The sequence below is a fragment of the Homo sapiens genome, chromosome 12, assembly GCF_000001405.40.
Source record: "Homo sapiens chromosome 12, GRCh38.p14 Primary Assembly".
NCBI classification, from domain to species: domain Eukaryota; kingdom Metazoa; phylum Chordata; class Mammalia; order Primates; family Hominidae; genus Homo; species Homo sapiens.
The window spans coordinates 81,121,280-81,141,936 of NC_000012.12; the positions used below are offsets into that span (position 1 = coordinate 81,121,280).

A 20,657-nucleotide genomic window follows, 5' to 3' on the forward strand; every position below is an offset into this window, starting at 1 on the left:
GGGGTGTTTGTTTAATTAGAACTTTGATTAAATAATCACAGCAGAATTGATCTAAACAATGCAGCAGGATTCCTGTTGACTTCTTTTGCATCTTTTATATTTGTCTTTCTTTAAGAGAAAAAAAGCCTCTAAGAAACCAATTTGGCTTTTTTTTTTCATGAAATAGTGAAGCATATAAATGCTTCATAAAGGCAAAACATTTTTACACACTTTTGGTGTTTACTTAAATTATTTTTATTTTAGTGTATTATTAAGCCTAGGCCTTAATGTTCTCTTTTTACAGCTTAGTACATAAATAAAGCCAAATCTGAGTTATAGGCAGGGTAAGAACAAACCCACAAAGCTAATCAAGCTCAATATGACAATATTAATTTACTATAATGAATGATATTGCTCTACTGGAGCTGAATGACTGATTGTAAAGTGTGTTTGATGCTGTGACCCTGGGGCTTTGAGTTCGGTGACATGTTCCCTGTGATGCCTCAATTCTCTTGTCACATATTAGTAATTGAACTTCCATAGAGGCTTTGATTATACAATGTGCCATAACCTTATCTGACCTTTACGTATTCTGCATGAGATTACAAAAATAAACAGTGAAACTGCATGAGTGCTCAGATAATCCAGAGTATGCTATATTATTATTATTATTATTATTATTATTATTATTTTGAGATGGAGTCTTGCTCTGCTGCCCAGACAGGAGTGCAGTGGCGTGATCTTGGCTCACTGCAGCCTCCACCTCCCGGTTCAGGCAATTCTCCTGCCTCAGCCTCCAGAGTAGCTGGGACTACAGGTGCGTGGCACTACACCTAGCTAATTTTTGTATTTTTAGTAGAGATAGGGTTTCACCATGTTGGTCAGGATGGTCTTGATCTCCTGACCTCTTGATCTGCCCTCCTTGGCCTCCCAAACTGCTGGGATTACAGGCAGGCATGAGCCACCGCGCCCAGCCTATTATTTTTTAATTGTATCAAAATGAAAACACAACGTTAAAAAATTCTCACGGAGAACTCATGGGCCCTGAGAATATCTCTACCGACTCTACTTGGAGAAACACTACAATAAAGAATTTATTAGATCAAGAGAAAAGGAATCTGGCCTTCATTAACAGTAGAAATTAATGTTGTTTAAAAAATATTATTCGCTAGCCCTTTAATGAAGTGTATATAGCAGACAACAGTGACAATTTTAAAGTAACAACTTTGTTTCACATTTTGCATGTTTATTATTGTATAAACAAATATGTGAGGCAATTATTACTATCATACTATCATATTATGTTCACTGAAGGAATATAACCTTATCTAGATAACTTACACAAACTTGTGTTGAATTGAATAGTCTTTTTTAATATAGTGTGGTAGATTCTGTACCTTTTCAAACACTCATTTGGGAAAGTGTGTACATTAGCCACAGAATTATGCTAGATTTTTCAGAATGCTTGTATATGTGAATGCATAACTGTAAAAAGTTACCTCTCTAATAGTTGAATTTTCTTTTTCATTTTAGTCCAGGTGGGTTACATATTTTTTATATGTAATAAAGCTTTCTTCAGCACTTGGGATATTTTCTTTACAAATACTCTAGGAAGCGTACAGAAAGTAATCAACTTTGAATTGTGTTATGTTTTAAAAAATCATTTGAAAAATTTTAAATAGGAATTTGTAATCTATTTCTCTATATATCTATCAATGGTACTTTTCTGAGTGGTGTTTGGGTTCCAGTCTGGCCACCCAACTGCTTAACATATAATATAGTTTAAATATAATGCATTTGCAGTAAAAAAAATCAATATTCTTGCAGTACTCATAAGGGAGGGAAATAAATGAATGTGAATTAAAAATTATTGGAAATGTTAGTTTTAGAGAAAAACAGATTCAATTAAATATCTCTTGAGGTGGGATAAATTGAATCCTGTGGTGAATGGTGGAGGGAAAGGGGCAATCATGGATATAATTTTCAAAAAATTAAAGGAAGATTTTGTGAAGGCTAGCTGGAAACAGATACATGAGAAGATCCTACGGTTTTGCTTTTTTGGTAGATAGAAGGTGGAGAAAGGCTAGAGAATATATGTAAATTAGGGCTTATAACTTTTAGAGTGTCTATTTTAAACCTCTCGTATTCTTATACAGTGCAATAAAACTACATTTTTAGATAGCATGCATTTTTAGACACAATACCTATTTAAATACCACAGGTTTTTTTTGAACTTTTATTTTAGGTTTAGGGGGTACATGTGCAGGTTAATTACATGGATAAATTGCGTGTTGTTGAGGTTTGTTGTTCAGATGAGCACAGTACCTGATAGGCTTTCAGTTCTCACCCCCCTCTCACCCTCCCCTCTCTATAGTCCCCAGTGCCCAGTGTCTATCGTTCTCATCTCTATTTCCATATGTACACAATGTTTAGATCCCACCTACATGTGAGAACATGCCATATTTGGTTTTCTGTCTCTGTGTTAATTTGCTTTGGATGACATCCAGCTGCATTCGTGTTGCTGCAAAGGACATGATCTTGTTCTTTTTTGTGGCTGCATAGTATTCCATAGTGTATATGTACCACATTTTCTTTATCCAGTCCACCATTGGTGGGTATCTAGGTTGACTCTATGTCTGTGCTATTGTGAATAGTGCTGCAGTGATGGAACATATGAGTCCATGTATATTTTTGGTAGAAAGATTTATTTTCTACCAAATATTTATTTTCCTTTGAGTATATACCGAGTAATAGGATTGCTGGGTCAAATGGTACTACTGTTTTAAATTGTTTGAGAAATCTCCAAAGTGCTTTCCACAGTGGCTGAACTAATTCACATTCCCACAAACTGTGTGTATGTGTTCCCTTTTCTCCACAGCCTTGCCAGCCCCTGTTGTTTTTTGATTTTTTAATAATAGCCATTCTGACTGGTGTGACATGGTATCTCATTGTGGTTTTGATTTGCATCTCTCTAAAAATTAGTTATGTTGAGCACTTTTTAATATATTTGTTGGCCTCATGAAATACTAGTTTTAAACGATTTTGATGGTGTGTAGTCCCTAGGTAAGGGTCTCTTCTGTGTTCACTTTTCTGTTATCCGGGTTAGGTTTTTTAGTTTAACCACACAACTCGTCTCTTACCAGTATCCTCACTTCTCCTGCATATTGTTGTTCCATTTCACTCTGTGGCAAAACTCCAGACCTGGATCAATCCAATTTCTTATTGTCTTCATTACTGTATCTGATACGTTGAATCCTGTTAAAGAAAAATCACGTAACTACAAATATAGATTTAATATAAATTTATGGTATCCAGTGTCCACTGGGACTTCAATGCTGCATTTTCTTTTTTTCTTTAGCATTTCTCGAGTAAGTTTCTCTTTTACTCTCCAAAGGCCATTTTAAACTTTTGGCTTTCCTGCCTCTGTGCCTCAAGCTTAACAGGGTACATTGATTCAAACCTAGCAATGATTATATAAATTTATTATCACCAGACCAACAGACTTGCCTGTATCCACACCCATTGTTTTCTCTTTCCCTCCTTTTAAAATAGAAGGTAATCTTTCTTTGGTCTCCTGGAGCCATTCTATCAATTCTTTTTAGGGCTCTTGTTCTGTTAATCTATCTTATACCTATCTCACTGCTGGCTCTTTCTCTTAAAAGCATGCATAAATTGTCCGGGCTTGGTGGCTCACGCCTGTAATCCCAGCACTTTGGGAGGCCGAGGCGGGCAGATCACGAGGTCAGGAGATCGAAACCATCCTGGCTAACACGGTGAAACCCTGTCTCTACTAAAAATACAAAAAATTAGCCGGGCGTGGTGGTGGGCGCCTGTAGTCCCAGCTACTCGGGAGGCTGAGGCAGGAGAATGGCGTGAATCCGGGAGGCGGAGCTTGCAGTGAGCCGAGATTGCGCCACCGCACTCCAGCCTGGGCAGAAGAGCGAGACTTCGTCTCAAAAAAAAAAAACAAAACAAAACAAAAAAAATACATAAATGTTTCTACTACTAGCTAGTTTCTTATCTATTTTCATTCACTGATTAACTTCAGAAAAATGCCTTTTAAATTTCCTTACCACACACATAACCAAAACCCTCTAAAATATGCTACTGCCTCATTTAGCTAAGGTAATTAATGCTTTCTTCTTATTAATTCCAATAGGTGTTCAATATTTTACTTCCTCTCTTTATTATGTCTAACATTTTTGTCCATTCTCTGCCAGTCTTCACTTAACTTCTATATACCATTCTGCCCTCATTTTCCTTTCTTTCCTGTGTTCATTCTAATTATCCTTCTTAAATGCTTCTTTTGCCTGTCCCTTCACTACCTGCTTCTAGGTTGCCTTCTTTTTCCATTTTACACATCCCGCCTGGGTGATTATATCTGCGCCAATGGCCTTTTTTGCCACATATGTGATGGTTACTCCCAGTGGCAACGCTGGCTATTCTCAGTTCTGTGTCATCAGCCCACATCTCTCTTCTGATGTTGAGATCATATGCAGGATTGCCGAGTAGGTGTCTATACATGGTTGTTCCACTAGCGTCTCAAATTTAAACGTGTCCAATGTGAATGGCATCACTTTCCAATCAGTTGCTAAAACCCAAACTGTGGCCCCATTCTTAATATTTCTCAAATAAGCTTATTTATTTTTACCCCTATTACGCAATAATCGAGTTTATGCAATAATCATTACATTAATGATTCTAGTTTATGCAATAATCATTACATTTTAAGAATGTGGAAAGCACTTACTTTTAAAGAGGATGAACATTTTTCAATTATTACACATTGTTTTTCGGGTTAGTCTAAACTCGATGGGCATAACAAGACTCTGTATCATGTCTAATATTGTTTCTTCATGCCTTTCCAGTTCATCTCACAACCCACTTCATCCTGAATGTTTTCTCTCTCTATACTAAACTGCCTTCACTTTTTCAGCCAAATGGCACATGCTGTGATGATTAGAGATATTGGCAGCAACTCTCCAGTGAGTAAAAGCAGGAGAAAGTTACAATTACCCAATTATTAATGTCTATAGTGGAGAGATGTTAAAATGGTAAAAAGTGGATGCAATCCTTAATTATTCTTTGTCTGTGTATTTTCTTTCCTTTTTATTGCATGCACCCTAGTCCTGTTGTGTGTTAATAACAGGCATCAATTGCATTTTCCATTCTTTTAGACCTTGGACTTCTCCTTGACGTAGAATTATTTTCTCTGTCCACAATGGCCTGTTACACAGAAATACTGTTTTAAAATTAACAAAATATGCTTTACAAGATGTGATGAATTCTGATGATTTTCTTGTAAATTTTAACATAAGTATCAAGGAAATGGAAGACAATATTCCTTATCAAGACTGAGCACATATACATAGGGAAATACAGGATTTAACTAATTTTCTGTGAAATTACAGTCTGAAAATCACAGTAGTCTTGAAAGCAAAGATTATTGAAATACTGATTATTTTGAGCTTGAACTAAAGGGATTAAATAATTATCTATTTCACTTTGCTTGTGAATACATAGTCTGAAAATGACTAAATATTGATTGAAACCCATGTGTGAAGAAACTGGTAATGAGAAAAATGATAATTCTGAGTAATGGTATTTACTCTTTCATTTGAAGAAAATTATTTGAGAAGAAATGTGCTAGTAAATGTTTTCTAGACCACTATCAGATAACTATTTTGAATGTAAGATAGCGTTTTGTAATTGTTCTTGAAAAATTTAATACAATGCGATTCTTAAATATAAAATAAGTATTCCTCTGTGTTTTAGATAAATAATAATACATTTTACTTGTAAGTGTAAATGTAATGTTTTCATCTTTAAAAGAAAGATTTTTCTTTTTTAGATAACATCTCTAACTTTCCTGGTTTTAAGAGACATATCTCAAAATAAATTGGCTTAGCATAATATCATCTTCAATGAAAATTATTTCAATGCTGTATCTAATAAATTGTAACTGTCTAAAAATGTTACATTTCTAGAAGCTTCTTATGTTATATGAAAATATTTATATTCCTGAAAAATTCTCTTCCAAAAAAGATAGTTTTACTATCATTCCAGATCTTAAGCAGTTTTAGAATAACTGATTATTTTCACAGATATTTACCTGAATGCATAGTTAATGCATGGACTAAAGAATAAGTTGTTCATTGTAGTTAAAATTTTAATCTTTTCAATGGCTGCCTGTATGTGTACAAGTAAAACAAACAAAAATGTGTATGATTAATATGTTTAAAAGTAAGGTGCAAGTATTTTATATAACTCTTTCTATGGAAATTATACATATTCTCAAGAACAATTCATTTATCCATACTTTTAGTAATCTGTTTCCTCAGATATTATAATTGGTTTTTAAATTAGTTTTATTTTTTGTTACGGTTTAGACCAGGGTTTGCAATGTAACATTGTGGCATTTTGAAAATATGCATTCCCTGTCTGCTTTTTCATACAGTTTTCTTTGATGTGGTTTTGAAGTTGCCCATGATCACTGCATTTTTACTACAATTTGGAAACTAGGGAACTATCTTTTTTCGTACAAGCATGATTTTCCTTAGGTGAGCACACTTGCTATTTGTGAAGCAAGTGATAATTTGTTCTGTAGAACATAGCTTTTTGCCAATTTTGACTAATCTTTATATTTGAGCTATGAGCATCTGGTCACAAAGTTATACTACCCCAAAGACTGTTTTTGAAAGATTTTCCAGAATGATAACATAAAATTTTTTATTAATTTAGTTTTCATTATTCATAGCAATATGTTTTCATTTTATAACTGAAATTTAAAGCTTTTACTTCTGTCTGATGCATTATATGTTATATTTATGTTATTTATAAACCAAATATATGTGCATACCATTTTATAATATATAAATTTCAGTTGTTGCATTTTCTTTACAATTATTATTCCTGTATGTGATTTTTTTTTTCCAGACTCCAAATTTCTTTGGTGTAAGGACCAACCATTTCCTTCTTATTTTTGTACCTGTAGACTTAACCTCAGTTTAGGACATACAGCTGATACTACATAAATTGAACCAATGACAGGACATTTATGTGTTAAAATGGCTTTAAATTAGTACCAAAATGATTCATCTAATTTCTAGTGGGAAGAGTCACACATTGTTATATCTAAATAAATACATTTTTTCATTTCCTCTAGGCTTCCTTCGCAGCCCAGTAATTCACACATTGGTAGCATAGTATCCTCATGCTAGCTGGCCTTGCTCCCCTGGGATCTGTATTGCCCTTGATGTCAGACTGAAAATCAATTTTACTGGTCTATCCTTGTGTAAAACCATCAAGTTATTGACAAATTTAAAAACAAATTTAAGAAGGTGCAAAGATGAATGTGAATTGGGTGAACGGCACATGGTTAACTTTTCTTCAGTTGAAAAACTATTTATTATAAACAACCTATATTAAAATATTTTCCCTTTTGCTAATAATAGAAATTGTAACTCTACACTCAGACATTTATGGTAGGATAAGAATATGTCATTCCATAAAAATAATACCTGTTTTCTTCTTTGATAATTTTCCACCTGAAGTTGATAAAAACTAGGTGAACCCTGAAATAGCAGTATCAAATGCCTTCTGTTTTGGAGTTCCAATAATACTTTATTTGAGTGATTATGAACTCATATGTTTTCCCATGCATATTCTCATACATATATATTTAGATTTACAAATTATAATGGAAAATTTTACCAGAGTGACATTTAGCCCTGAAAACTACTGGAAAAGAAAATCGTACTATTGATTCTGTAAACCTTTTGTCTGTAGACCAGCTCTGGTGTGGTTATCAGGTTATCAAAACATTGAGGAGCAGCTGAAACAAGCAAGGCCAAATAGACTCCATCTAGTGGTTACACGGGACTGGTGCAGCCTCATTTAACTAAAAATTGTTTTCAGGGCAGTGGTTGACAACTCAGATGCCTACAGAAGAGGGTGGATGGGAGAAAAATCAATTGTAGGTATGTATCACACTTTCTGTATGGTTAGGGAACTATGGTGTAAGCATATAACATAAAATAAATAAGAGGTAAAAAATATATTTTAAACTCAGAATGAAAAAAAATGCAAGCTGTATGATAAATGCCCCTGGGAATAGTGAGTTCTATGGCAAACCACTAGGCTGATCATCTGGTTCAATTGATTGCTGTTATTCAAGAACACAGGCCTGGTGCTGCTAGACTTCACAATTTTTCTAGAGAAACTGGAGATCTAGATTTGTATGTGAAACCTACTAAATTTAATATGCTGGTTCATTTTCTTAAAATGTGATATGGCCCCAACTTAAATACATCTTGGTCACATTTGGCTGTGACCTGCGATTTTGAGATCTTTGTTTCACACAAGGTCTTGAATTTTTTTTATTATACTTTAAGTTCTAGGGTACATGTGCACAACGTGCAGGTTTGTTACATATGTATGCATGTACCATGTTGGTGTGCTGCACCCATTAACTCATCATTTACATTAGGTATTTCTCTTAATGCTATCCCTCTCCCCTCCCCCCACCCCATGATAGGCCCCCGTGTGTGATATTCCCCGCCCTGTGTCCAAGTGTTCTCATTGTTCAATTCCCACCTATGAGTGAGAACATGTGGTGTTTGGTTTTCTGTCCTTGTGATAGTTTGCTTAGAATGATGGTTTCCAGCTTCATCCATGCCCCTACAAAGGACATGAACTCATCCTTTTTTATGGCTGCATAGTATTCCGTGGTGTATATGTGCCACATTTTCTTAATCCAATCTATCATTGATGGACATTTGGGTTGGTTGTAAGTCTTTGGTATTGTGAATAGTGCCACAATAAACATACATGTGCATGTGTCTTTATGGTAGCATGATTTATAATCCTTTGGGTATATACCCAGTAATGGGATTGCTGAGTCAAATGGTATTTCTAGTTCTAGATCCTTGAGGAATCGCCACACTGTCTTCCACAATGGTTGAATTAGTTTACATTCCCACCAGCAGTGTAAAAATGTTCCTATTTCTCCACATCCTGTCCAGCACCTGTTGTTTCCTGACTTTTTAATGATCGCCATTCTAACTGGTGTGAGATAGTATCTCATTGTGGTTTTGATTTGCATTTCTCTGATGACCAGTGATGATGAGCATTTTTTCATGTGTCAGTTGGCTGCATAAATGTCTTCTTTTGAGAAGTGTCTGTTCATATGCTTCACCCACTTTTTGATGGGGTTGTTTGATTTTTTTCTTGTAAATTTGTTTAAGTTCTTTGTAGATTCTGGATATTAGCTCTTTGCCAGATGGATAGATTGCAAAAATTTTCTCACATTCTGTAGGTTGCATGTTCACTCTGATGGTAGTTTCTTTTGCTATGCAGAAGCTCTTTAGTTTAATTAGATCCCATTTGTCTATTTTGGCTTTTGTTGTCATTGCTTTTGGTGTTTTAGTCATGAAGTCCTTGCCCATGCCTATGTCCTGAATGCTATTACCTAGGTTTTCTTGTAGGGTTTTTATGGTTTTAGGTCTAACATTTAAGTCTTTAATCCATCTTGAATTAATTTTTGTATAACGTGTAAGGAAGGGATGCAGTTTCAGCTTTCTACATATAGCTAGCCAGTTCTTCCAGCTCCATTTATTAAATAGGGAATCCTTTCCCCATTTCTTGTTTTTGTCAAGTTTGTCAAAGATTGGATGGTTGTAGATGTGTGGTGTTATTTCTGAAGGCTCTGTTCTGTTCAATTGGTCTATATCTCTGTTTTGGTACCAGTACCATGCTGTTTTGGTTACTGTAGCCTTGTAGTATAGTTTGAAGTCAGGTAACGTGATGCCTCCAGCTTTGTTCTTTTGGCTTAGGATTGTCTTAGCAATGCAGGCTCTTTTTTGTTCCATATGAACATTAAAGTAGTTTTTTCTGATTCTGTGAAGAGAGTCATTGGTAGCTTTATGGGGATGGCAATAAATCTATAAATTACCTTGGGCAGTATGGCCATTTTCACAATATTAATTCTTCCCATCCATGAGCATGGAGTGTTCTTCCATTTGTTTGTGTCCTCTTTTATTTTGTTGAGCAGTGGTTTGTAGTTCTCCTTGAAGAGGTCCTTCACATCCCTTGTAAGTTGGATTCCTAGGTATTTTATTATCTTTGAAGTAATTGTGAATGGGAATTCGCTCATGATTTGGCTCTCTGTTTGTCTGTTATTGATGTATAGGAATGCCTGTGGTTTTTGCACATTGATTTTGTATCCTAAGACTCTGCTGAAGTTGCTTATCAGCTTAAGGAGATTTGGGGCTGAGATGATGGGGTTTTCTGAATATGCAATCATTCATCTGCAAACAGGGACAATTTGACTTACTCTTTTTCTAATTGAATACCATTTATTTCTTTCTCCTGCCTGATTGCCCTGGCCAGAACTTCCAACACTATGTTGAATAGGAGTGGTGAGAGAGGGCATCCCTGTCTTGTGCCAGTTTTCAAAGAGAATGCTTCCAGTTTTTGGCCATTCGGTATGATATTGGCTGTGGGTTTGTCATAAATAGCTCTTATTATTTTGAGATACATCCCAACAATACCTAGTCTATTGAGAGTTTTTAGCATGAAAGGCTGTTGAATGGTGTCAAAGGCCTTTTTTGCATCTACTGAGATAATCATGTGGTTTTTGTCTTTGGTTCTGTTTATGTGATGGATTACGTTTATTGATTTGCCTATGTTGAACCAGCCTTGCATCGCAGGGATGAAGCCAACTTGATCATGGTGGATTAGCTTTTTGAAGTGCTGCTGGATTCGGTTTGCCAGTATTTTATTGAGGATTTTTGCATCGATGTTCATCAGGGATATTGGTCTAAAATTCTCTTTTTTTGTTGTGTCTCTGCCAGGCTTTGGTATCAGGATGATACTGGCCTCATAAAATGAGTTAGGGAGGATTCCCTCTTTTTCTATTGATTGGAATAGTTTCAGAAGGAATGGTACCAGCTCGTTTTTGTGCCTCTGGTAGAATTTGGCTGTGAATCTGTCTGGTCCTGGACTTTTTTTTGGTTGGTAGGCTATTAATTGTTGCCTCAATTTCAGAGCCTGTTGTTGGTGTTTTCAGGGACTCAAATTCTTCCTGGTTTAGTCTTGGGAGGGTGTATGTGTACAGGAATTTATCCATTTCTTCTAGATTTTCTAGTTTATTTGCATAGAGGTGTTTATAGTATTCTCTGATGGTAGTTTGTATTTCTGTGGGATCGGTGGTGATATCCCCTTTATCATTTTTTATTGCGTCTATTTGATTCTTCTCTCTTTTCTTCTTTATTAGTCTTGCTAGCAGTCTATCTATTTTGTTGATCTTTTCAAAAAACCAGCTCCTAGATTCATTGATTTTTTGAAGGAAATTTTGTGTCTCTATCTCCTTCAGTTCTGCTCTGATCTTAGTTATTTTTTAATCTCATTTCTTTCAGAGGACAGAAAATTGGTGGGCATCTTCCATCAACACTGTAAAGTGAGACTGGATTATAAAGTTACTGAATTATTGGTAGTGTGGGCCTTGGTTGAATGTCATTTTTATTCAACTGGCATAATTCAAGATGCTGAAGTCACAGCTTTGGCTATGACTAGCTATTCTCGTTGGTCTCTCTCAGTGTGGTACCTTAAATGATGTACCTAGTAATGTGATAATGAAGCATGGTCACTTTCTGCAGGGGTTGCACACTGAGATGTTTGGATATAACTTTCCAATTTTTGTCTTGTTTTTTTGAGTTCCATATATAATTCAAGTTCATGATTTTTATTACTTTGGTGTATCTTTCTCATAATCTTCTGCTAGCGTCTTTGAAGTTCTTGAAACATAGCACTCAATTATAGAGTTTGCAATATAAAGTAGAATAAAACACTAAAATCGTGTTTTTTTTTTTCTTTCTGTCTTTCACCAGATCCCTTAACCTTCACCACACCTGTCCCCATCCATACAGAGGAAGTGAATAAATAGAAAAGAGAAAAATGGCCAGGATTCAGAATTCTTTAAACTTGTCCAGAAAGTAGGAGAGACAAAAATGAAAGGAGCCATAAATAGACATGTGACCTAATTTCTTCTCCCAAGCCTCCTCTGTTCATTGTGTTGGACAGTCACATTCAAAGGCAAGCCATGGTCCTTCCAATTGCCCACCATGCCCCTACAGGCCCTTTGGCTCCCTGACCTGATCGACAACTGTCTTTTCACTTGTTTCTTCTCCAGGCCCCTGGTTTCCTTGCTGTTCCTTGATCGCATCACATATGATCTCCTTTACCTCTTACATGTTTGTATTTCACTGATGTTCTCTTTGCCTGAAATAGTACATTCATAGATATCCACTTTTTTTCAACTTCTACATGTCTTACAAAACTGTTGCTTTCTTAGTGAGCTCCCGGTGAGAATTACATCCACCCCTTCCCCTGCACTCTGAATCCTCTTTACTCTGCTCTACTTCCCTCCTGCATATGATTGAAGATTTTTTACCACAATAGATAATTTACTTATTTATTGTGTTTATTGCTTATTGTGAGTATTTTCTCTGCTAAAGTATAAGTACTTGCAGGGTAGAGATTATTGTCTTGTCTTGTTTACTTATCTGATGTATCTGAAAACAGTGTCTGACATATAATAGATACTTAATATATATATTTTAAGTAAAAGAATGTTGAACTACTTATTCATTAAGATCTGGGAGTACTTCCCACAGCCCTCTATAATTGCCCATGGGAAGGATTCTTGCAATAAATTTTATCATGTGTGGCTTATAATCTGTTTTGTCTTTATTGCTAGAAAGTACAAAAACATGTTACGGGGAAGAGACATTTATATGTTGAGGTCTCAAAAACAGAAAAAAAAAAAGAACTGTGTATGTTGTATCCAAATACAGAGGAAAGTCATTTTGTATAATAATTAGTGTAAAAAAAAACTATAAAGGCAGTAGAAAGAGCAAAGAATATGAGGTCGGAAGACCTGTGATCGTGTCCTGTTACAGCATTTGCTAGTTCTCTGACCTTGGTTAGCTGTTTATTAGCTCTGAACCTTATTACCTTATCTTTAGATGTAAATAATAATATAGTAGAATTTGTCTTATTTGCTTTATTAGTGTTTAGTGATATGTTTTCTTTATGAATATATACTTGCTTCCTTTAACAGTTACCCAACATCTATCTAAATTTGTAAATATTTTGTTTTTCTGTTCACCTGACAGATTCACCTTTTGCAATACATAGGCTCTACAGGGACAATTCTGTGTCTTTCTTTTATCAGTGTTACATTCCCAACTCTTACATACTATGTCTGGTGTATAATAGTTGCTCAGTAAAAATGTTGTGACATGAATGGTTAAGCAATCTTAAGTCATAAAGTTTATGTGACATAATAATAGTAGGTTGGTTTATAATCAATGATTATAATACAATTGTTATTACTCTCACCATCTAAAGCATTATCATCATCATCAAATATGTGTTACTTAGGCTCCTTTAATCTACTACCAAGCGGGTGATCAGCTTCTAATATTACTGCCTTAAGTTAGAAGTTTGGTGAAATAATACAAAATACACTTTACTGATTTAATGGTCTTGGCATAGGTCTCCAAGCTGGCTGGTGTCTTGGTCAAGCATGGCATCAAGAAAGGTGACACTGTGGTTATCTACATGCCTATGATCCCACAGGCGATGTATACCATGTTGGCATGTGCAAGGATAGGTGCCATCCACAGTCTCATATTTGGAGGATTTGCTTCCAAAGAACTAAGTAGTCGCATTGATCATGTAAAGGTAAGTGCTTTATTTTGGGAAATCAAGTAGTAGCTATGTATAATTTAGTCATATTTATCTGTGGATGAATCATCTGAGAATGCTCTATACTTGTTAGATCCTCCCTTCAAATAGGATGGTTGATAAATACTTTTCCTAGAAATCATTATATTAAATATCAAAAAGACGCCTACATGCATATGTTTATTGCAGCTTAATTTACAATTTCAAAGACATGGAATCAACCTAAGTGACCATCAACTGAAGAGTGGATAAATAAAATGTGATATATATAATATATTATATATATTATAATATATATTATATATCACATTATATATTATATATTATAATATATTATATATCACATATATAATATATATCACATTATATATAATATATAATACAATAATACTTAAATACATATAATAATATATAAATATATATAATATATAATATTATAATAATATATAAAATAAAATATATACACACACACACACCATGGAATACTTCTCAGCCATAACAAAGAATAAAGTAATACCTTTTGTAGCAAATTGGATGGAACTGGAGATCATTAGCTTAAGTGAAACAACTCAGGAACAGAAAACCAGATACTTCATGTTCTCACTGTTAAGTGGGAGCTAAGCTATGTGTATGCAAAGACATATAGAGTGGTATAATGGACACTGGAAACCCAGAACGGGGATAAAGGATGAAAAACTACCTATTGGATACAATGTACACTATTTGGGTGACAAGTACCCTAAAAGTCCAGACTTCAAGCTATTTAAATAAATACATAAATAAAATGTTTTTTATTTCACATACACCTGTTAATCACACATTTGTTTTAAAGTCAGTCCTATGTGAAAGACATCTTGCTAGGTGCCTTGGGGAATATAAACTATAAGATAAGGTGTCTGCTTTCCAACTTAGCTTGTCATATATTTGGGTGTATAAGACATACAAGAAAAGGACTAATAACTAATTTGTTCATTCAACATATATTTTATTAAGCTCCTGCTATGTTCCTGACACTGTCTTTGCAACTGGGTAATAAGTAATACTTATCAAATGGATGGGACATATAACTAGTTTTACAATCCATATACTTCCAGGAAGTATATATGTTTGAATGGGGTACAAAAATAACAATTTAGTGAGTCTGTTGTGAAATATCATTGAGCTATTTAATCTAAAACAGCACACTGTCTGGCATATAGTACACATTTAAAAAATGTTAACTATTATTAATCTATGAATTTAGTGCAGGAGTTAGAAAAATTTTAATGGTAATTGACCAGATAGTAAATATTTTAGGCAGTATGGATAACATGATCTCTATCGCACCTACTCAGCTTTGCTGCTGTAGCACAAAAGCATCCTTAGACAACATGTACATGATAGGTGTGCATTTTTCAATAATATTTTATAGAAACAGGCTGTGTGCCGGGTTTGGCTCACAACCATAGTTTGCAGACCCCTGATTTAGAGGAAGAGGCATTTTCTTTCAGTCGGGTGGCCAAAGAAGGCTTCCTGAAGGAGATGAGATTTGAGTTAGATCTTGGCTAAGATTCAGCTAGTTGAAGAGAATGACATAGTAGGATCCAAAAAGGCAGAAAAAGAATCTGAGTCAAGCAGTAGAGACAGGAAATGGTAAAATTCATTTGGAAGGACAGTAAGTAGACCAATGTGACTAAAAGGTGAGAGAAGGTGAGCTTGCAAGGGTAGGTTTTGTCTGAACTGGATTCTGTTAATGAGTAAAAGTTTTTGAACAGGCAAGTGTCATGTTTTAAACAATGTTAAGAAGAGGCAGGTCTTGCAGTATGTAAGTGGGAGTGAAGCTGGAAGCTGTAATAAAAACCTTTGATAGGTGGTCTGTTTGTGAAACAGTGGGCAATATGAAGGGGAAAAAGGACTCTGGGAAGATTAAGGAAGGAAGGTGCTTATCAGAGCAAGAGATGGTTGACCTTTAGAGTTTTACAAGCCCAAGATGAGACATTCTTAATGGGAAGAAAGCTAATATATACTGAAGGCCCCCTGAGTACTAGGTATAGAGTGAGGCTTTGCATATCTCACTTTATCTTGTAATAGATTAGTTATTAAAACAAGAAAGCTGATTTGTGGACAAACCATCTGGGTCCTTTTTTATCTTTTTTTTTTTCTTTTTAAACATGTTGAGTTAATGCCTATGAAGAAAATCTAGGGAAAAAATATCAGTCACTGACCTGCAAAAGAAACTGTAAAAAATTTTGATAAGATATAGGGAAATTACAATATGTAAAACAATAAGGATTTAAAAAACTTATGGTGTACCACTTAAGGAATTTTCATCCATCACACACACACACACACACACACACACACACACACACACACACCCCTAATACTCCTTTGTTAAGGGGTTTATGCAATAAATGCTTTTATGGACAAGGCAATTGGGCAGGTCAAATGTAAGGAGAGAAGATGGAGATATATATATCTGAGATAGTTGGGTAAAATTAGTGTGTAGTTGAAATTAGGAATGATTTTGATGTCATGATCTTCAAATAAATAGGCTAAAGAAAAAGTTTTATTTTAACAGAAGAAGATGGAAAGGATGTATTCTAACAAGTCAGTCTAGACTCAATAAGATCTCCCATAAGACTGTTAATAGAAATGTGAAAGGAATTATTTTTTCAGAGGAAGAGTCTAATTTTGACTTTATTAAATTATTCAAGCTTTGATATATTCTATATATGCTCCTAATTTGATATGTAGCTTGCTTTTGTTTATTCAGAATTCTAAGGAATGCTATCTAGAGCTATTTTTGTGAGTATTATAGATATTAAAATGTGAATTATATTCAAATGTCTGACCTTTAAAAATATAATAAAAGGAAACAAGACTTTCTGCTTTTTTTTTCCTTTTTGTTTTAAGGCAGCTTGATATGGTGGAAAGAGGTTCTGCAACCAGACAGAACTGGCCTTCCTTCTGCCTTCGCCACTTGTAACCTGGGGCAAACTATGTAATTGCACTGAGCCTCTGTTCCATGAATATTAAATTATATTCAAAAAGCAGGCAATACTATATATGCATATATTTAGCACAGTATAAACCTTTCCTAGATGAAATGTATTATAACTAGAAATCAGAATTCAGGAATACATGCAATACTTTGGGTCAATTATCTGCCTTCCGAATAATTTATTATGTGTCTCTTTTGCTTTGGATTTCTTGGTGAAGAAACAATGTACTTAAAAATATGAGGACTTATTTTTCTGCAAATTAATGAGTTCCGCAAACGTTTACTGAAAGCTCATGACATGCCAAGCACTGTGCTAGGTATAGGAAACACAAAAATAAATGACATCCAAACTTGGCCTTATAGAGCTTACTGTGCAGTAATAGAGATTTATGAACACTGACTATAGCTGAACATTTGAGGCATGTCCAGAATGTACTGAAAAGAGAGGTTAACATAAGCTGTGGTTCCCACCAGGGATACATTTTGCCTACACCTGTGTTTGTCTTGAAGAATGACTTAACAAGTTGGCAGGTAAAGAGTATAAAGTGTATCTTAAGGACAGGGGCAGGTCTAGGCTTTGTGGGGCTTGAAACTTTAATCATTTGGGAGCCTTTTTAAGAAAATAATATAATGTAATATTTGGTGAACATGAATATATATTTAGAATGAGAAAAAATTATTATAAATTATTGGAGATTTGGGTCTTTTTCTGCTGTAATCTCTTTAGGCATTTAGAAGAGAAATATATAGAAAACCTATGAAATGCTACTACAACCTCAGCAGCAGCCAGCTCTTATTGGGGCCTTTGCAAGTAAGGGGCCTCAAGATTTGCATTGTACTAGTTTATGGCAAATCCACCTGGCTTAATGGATTATTTGAAAGGGATTTATACATTTCATACATATGAGTCAAAAACATCATTGAGCATGCAGTTTTGAACAGGTAAGTGAGATTTGTGTAGAAGTGATCAAGTCTCTAACAATTACAAAGGGTTTACTGGTTTTCAGACCATTCAATAGAAAACAGAAACATTCAGACATTTCTTTACAAATGTTGAATTGCCAGTCTGCAACTAAAATATTGTGATTACCTAATTAACATTGTTAAAGCTTTCTCTCCATTATTATTTTTTAATTGTAGCCCAAGGTGGTTGTTACAGCATCATTTGGCATTGAACCTGGAAGGAGGGTAGAGTACGTACCACTTGTAGAAGAAGCGCTAAAAATAGGACAACACAAACCAGACAAAATTCTCATTTATAATCGTCCAAATATGGTAATCTGAATATTGAATTTGGTTCTTGCTTATGGTAATATGCTAAGAATGAGTTTAGTTTTTACCATTTAAAAGAGACATTTGATTTATAAGCTATTAAGTATACTGCTGAATGTTATTGTTATTTCTAAAAAATATATGAATAAGACTTACTGACTTCATGAAAATCTAGCTTAAAACCAAAAGAGTGAAACACAGAAAGATGTGTGAGATTAATGAATTGGATTCTATGTATATTGCTATTGTTGTGTTTTTTATTAGCTCAGATTATATTAGCAATAATAATAACAAACACGAAGTGACTGCTTACCATATGATTTTTAAGACATTCTACTAATGAATATATATATATAAAATAATAATAATAATAATTATTGTTATTTTTTTTTGAGACAGAGTCTCACTCTGTCGCCCAGGCTGGAGTGCAGTGGCCGATGTCCGCTCATTGCAAGCTCCGCCCCCTGGGTTCATGCCATTCTCCTGCCTCAGCCTCTGGAGTAGCTGGGACTACAGGTGCCTGCCACCACACCCGGCTAATTTTTTGTATTTTTAGTAGAGACGGGGTTTCACCGTGTTAGCCAGGATGGTCTCGATCTCCTGACCTCGTGATCCGCCTGCCTGGGCCCCCCAAAGTGCTGGGATTACAGGTGTGAGCCACCGCGCCCGGCCATATTTTTTAATCTTCCTGGTAACTCTATTAACTAGATGATAATATTATTACTATTTTAATAAAAGAAGACTCCAGTGAACATGGAGATAAAGTAACTTTCTCAGTTTGAAAGTGCCAGTGTCAAGATGCGAATGCATGCGCTCTGACTGCATGCTTAATCCCTCAGCTATACTGACTCTTGGAGTGGTGTGATTAATTTGCATGCAATTGTCTTCTTAAAATTTTGAAGAGTATTTAGGCCAGAAATAAAACTATGCTTAGGAAAACAAAACATGAATATTCTAAGTAGATAAATTATTCTGTGATCTATGAAGGAAGGGAGAACAGTATAAGATATCAATGAATACAATTTACCGTACTTTTCCTGTAACTTTGAACTCATGATCACCTTACTTCTTCACCCAAGCAAATCTCTAGCTATTTATGATAAGACCAACTTGGGTTTCTAGCAGATTAAATTTTTTTTTTTGCAGAAGTGAAATTGCAAGACTGCAAAGAATCATGTGCAATTAATTTATAGAACTCTTGACAAGTTTTCTTTGAAAATACTTAAATGACAAGATATGAGAACAGAGTGTTAAAAATATGTCATTTTGATTACCACCTAGCAATTCCCATTACCACATTAAATTCCTGTGTAAAGTTTTAGTAGTCTGTGGTTCATGAACTGCTGCACTTAATGATTTTAATGTTCTTATGATCTTGAAGAAGAATTTTAAGTTTCTTTCAGAAGACCTCAAGCACTTTTTTTAAAAAAGCTTCTTTGCTGTTTAAATCAGGCAATGCAAAATCAGTAATATAGAAGGCTTTGGGTAAGAACAGTTTAGAGGAATGGCAGGAACACACACACAATGTATGCATATGTGAGTATATGTGTGCTGTTTACATTACATATACTTACAGTATATAAGTGCTGAACATGTAATTTGTTCAGAACTTATGATGTTCTAAGTTCTAGGCCCAATGCTAAGTACTTCCAAATATTTTTTCTTATTTAATTCTAACAAACAAATGAAATACATGCTGTTTCTAGCCTTATTTTGGAGATAAAGAAACTGAGTAATGGAGAGGTCATAGCCCAAAGTCACGGCTACTAAGTGGCAGAACCAGGATTTAAACTCCAGTTTAATGATTTGTAACCAACAAGATATATGCTATTTCTTTCACTATAAACACATTGGATATGTGCAAGTCTCTTCTCTTTTCTTCTTAATAGAGATTAACTGCCTGCTCCCCTCCAATAACTAGCTTACTTTCTCAGCTTCTCTCTTTTTCTGCAGGCCCTTTCCTCTATTGTGATATAGATGAGGGCTGTAGAAATCTCTTGTTCTTTCTATTAGACCTGCTGTTTTGGCAGTAACTAAGCCCAGTGGAATGGCTTTGCTTTGAATTTAGAGAGACACAAATTATGAGGCTCAGTGGTGTGTCTTATTAACCAGGATTGCATTTTTGTAAGAGGAGGTAAAAACTTGGCTGCCACACCTAAGCCTCAGGCAAACAATGATGGAATCAAAGGATATTGCATCAATCACCCCTATGCTCTCCCAATACCGCCTTTTAAGAATTATAAGAATTAGGAAAGACATATCTATAGAAGTAAATGCATATATGTGAAAGTGTTTTTTTTCCTCTGTTTCTCAGATCTCCTTTGCACATACCTCTGTTTCTTAGCCTGAAGAATAACCATTTATTGAAGTCCTAATTTCATTAGAGTCCTATCAAAATTATCAACCTGTAATTATTTTTGTGATCCTCAATTTGATGTTTGTATTTTGCAGTGTGATGATTTTTATAGATCTCTGTGTTGTCAAAAGTTTGATAATTTGCAATTAGTTGCTTTTATCCATTGTATAAATAGAAATGGAAACGTATGATTTGGTCATAGTCAACTATTTTATTTATCTAAATGGCAGAGCCAGTACCTATCAGAGTGGGGCTGGAGAAAGCAGTTTGGCCTGAAACTTCAACTTGATACAGGGTCTTCGATTCAGCTATAAATGT

At 34.8% G+C, this 20,657-nt stretch overlaps 1 protein-coding gene and 1 long non-coding RNA gene across 12 annotated transcripts in view; one reads left to right on the forward strand and one right to left on the reverse strand.

The window, feature by feature from the left end:
- ACSS3-AS1 (ACSS3 antisense RNA 1) overlaps positions 1-4,579 on the reverse strand; it is a 32,061-nt gene extending 27,482 nt beyond the window's left edge. For 3 of the 6 annotated variants that reach the window (XR_001749225.2, XR_001749229.2, XR_001749227.2), the window contains exons 1-2: positions 4,305-4,392; positions 3,120-3,234 (exon numbers count right to left, since the gene is read on the reverse strand). This is a non-coding gene — a long non-coding RNA (ACSS3 antisense RNA 1). Of the gene's footprint in view, positions 1-1,498; positions 1,587-3,119; positions 3,235-4,304 lie in introns of those variants that run through there. The other 3 variants (XR_001749226.2, XR_007063390.1, XR_001749230.2) reach the window with 2 other exon arrangements.
- The window catches only part of ACSS3 (acyl-CoA synthetase short chain family member 3), a 183,340-nt gene that overhangs the window by 43,409 nt on the left and 119,274 nt on the right, over positions 1-20,657 (forward strand). For all 6 annotated transcript variants that reach the window (XR_944720.4, XM_047429549.1, NM_001330243.2 and 3 more), the window contains exons 3-4: positions 13,537-13,725; positions 17,852-17,986. Coding sequence is in view for 4 of the 6 variants with exons in the window: in XM_047429549.1 (XP_047285505.1) it covers positions 13,537-13,725; positions 17,852-17,986 (324 nt within the window). In the remaining 2 variants the exon portion in view is untranslated. The remainder of the gene's footprint in view (positions 1-13,536; positions 13,726-17,851; positions 17,987-20,657) is intronic.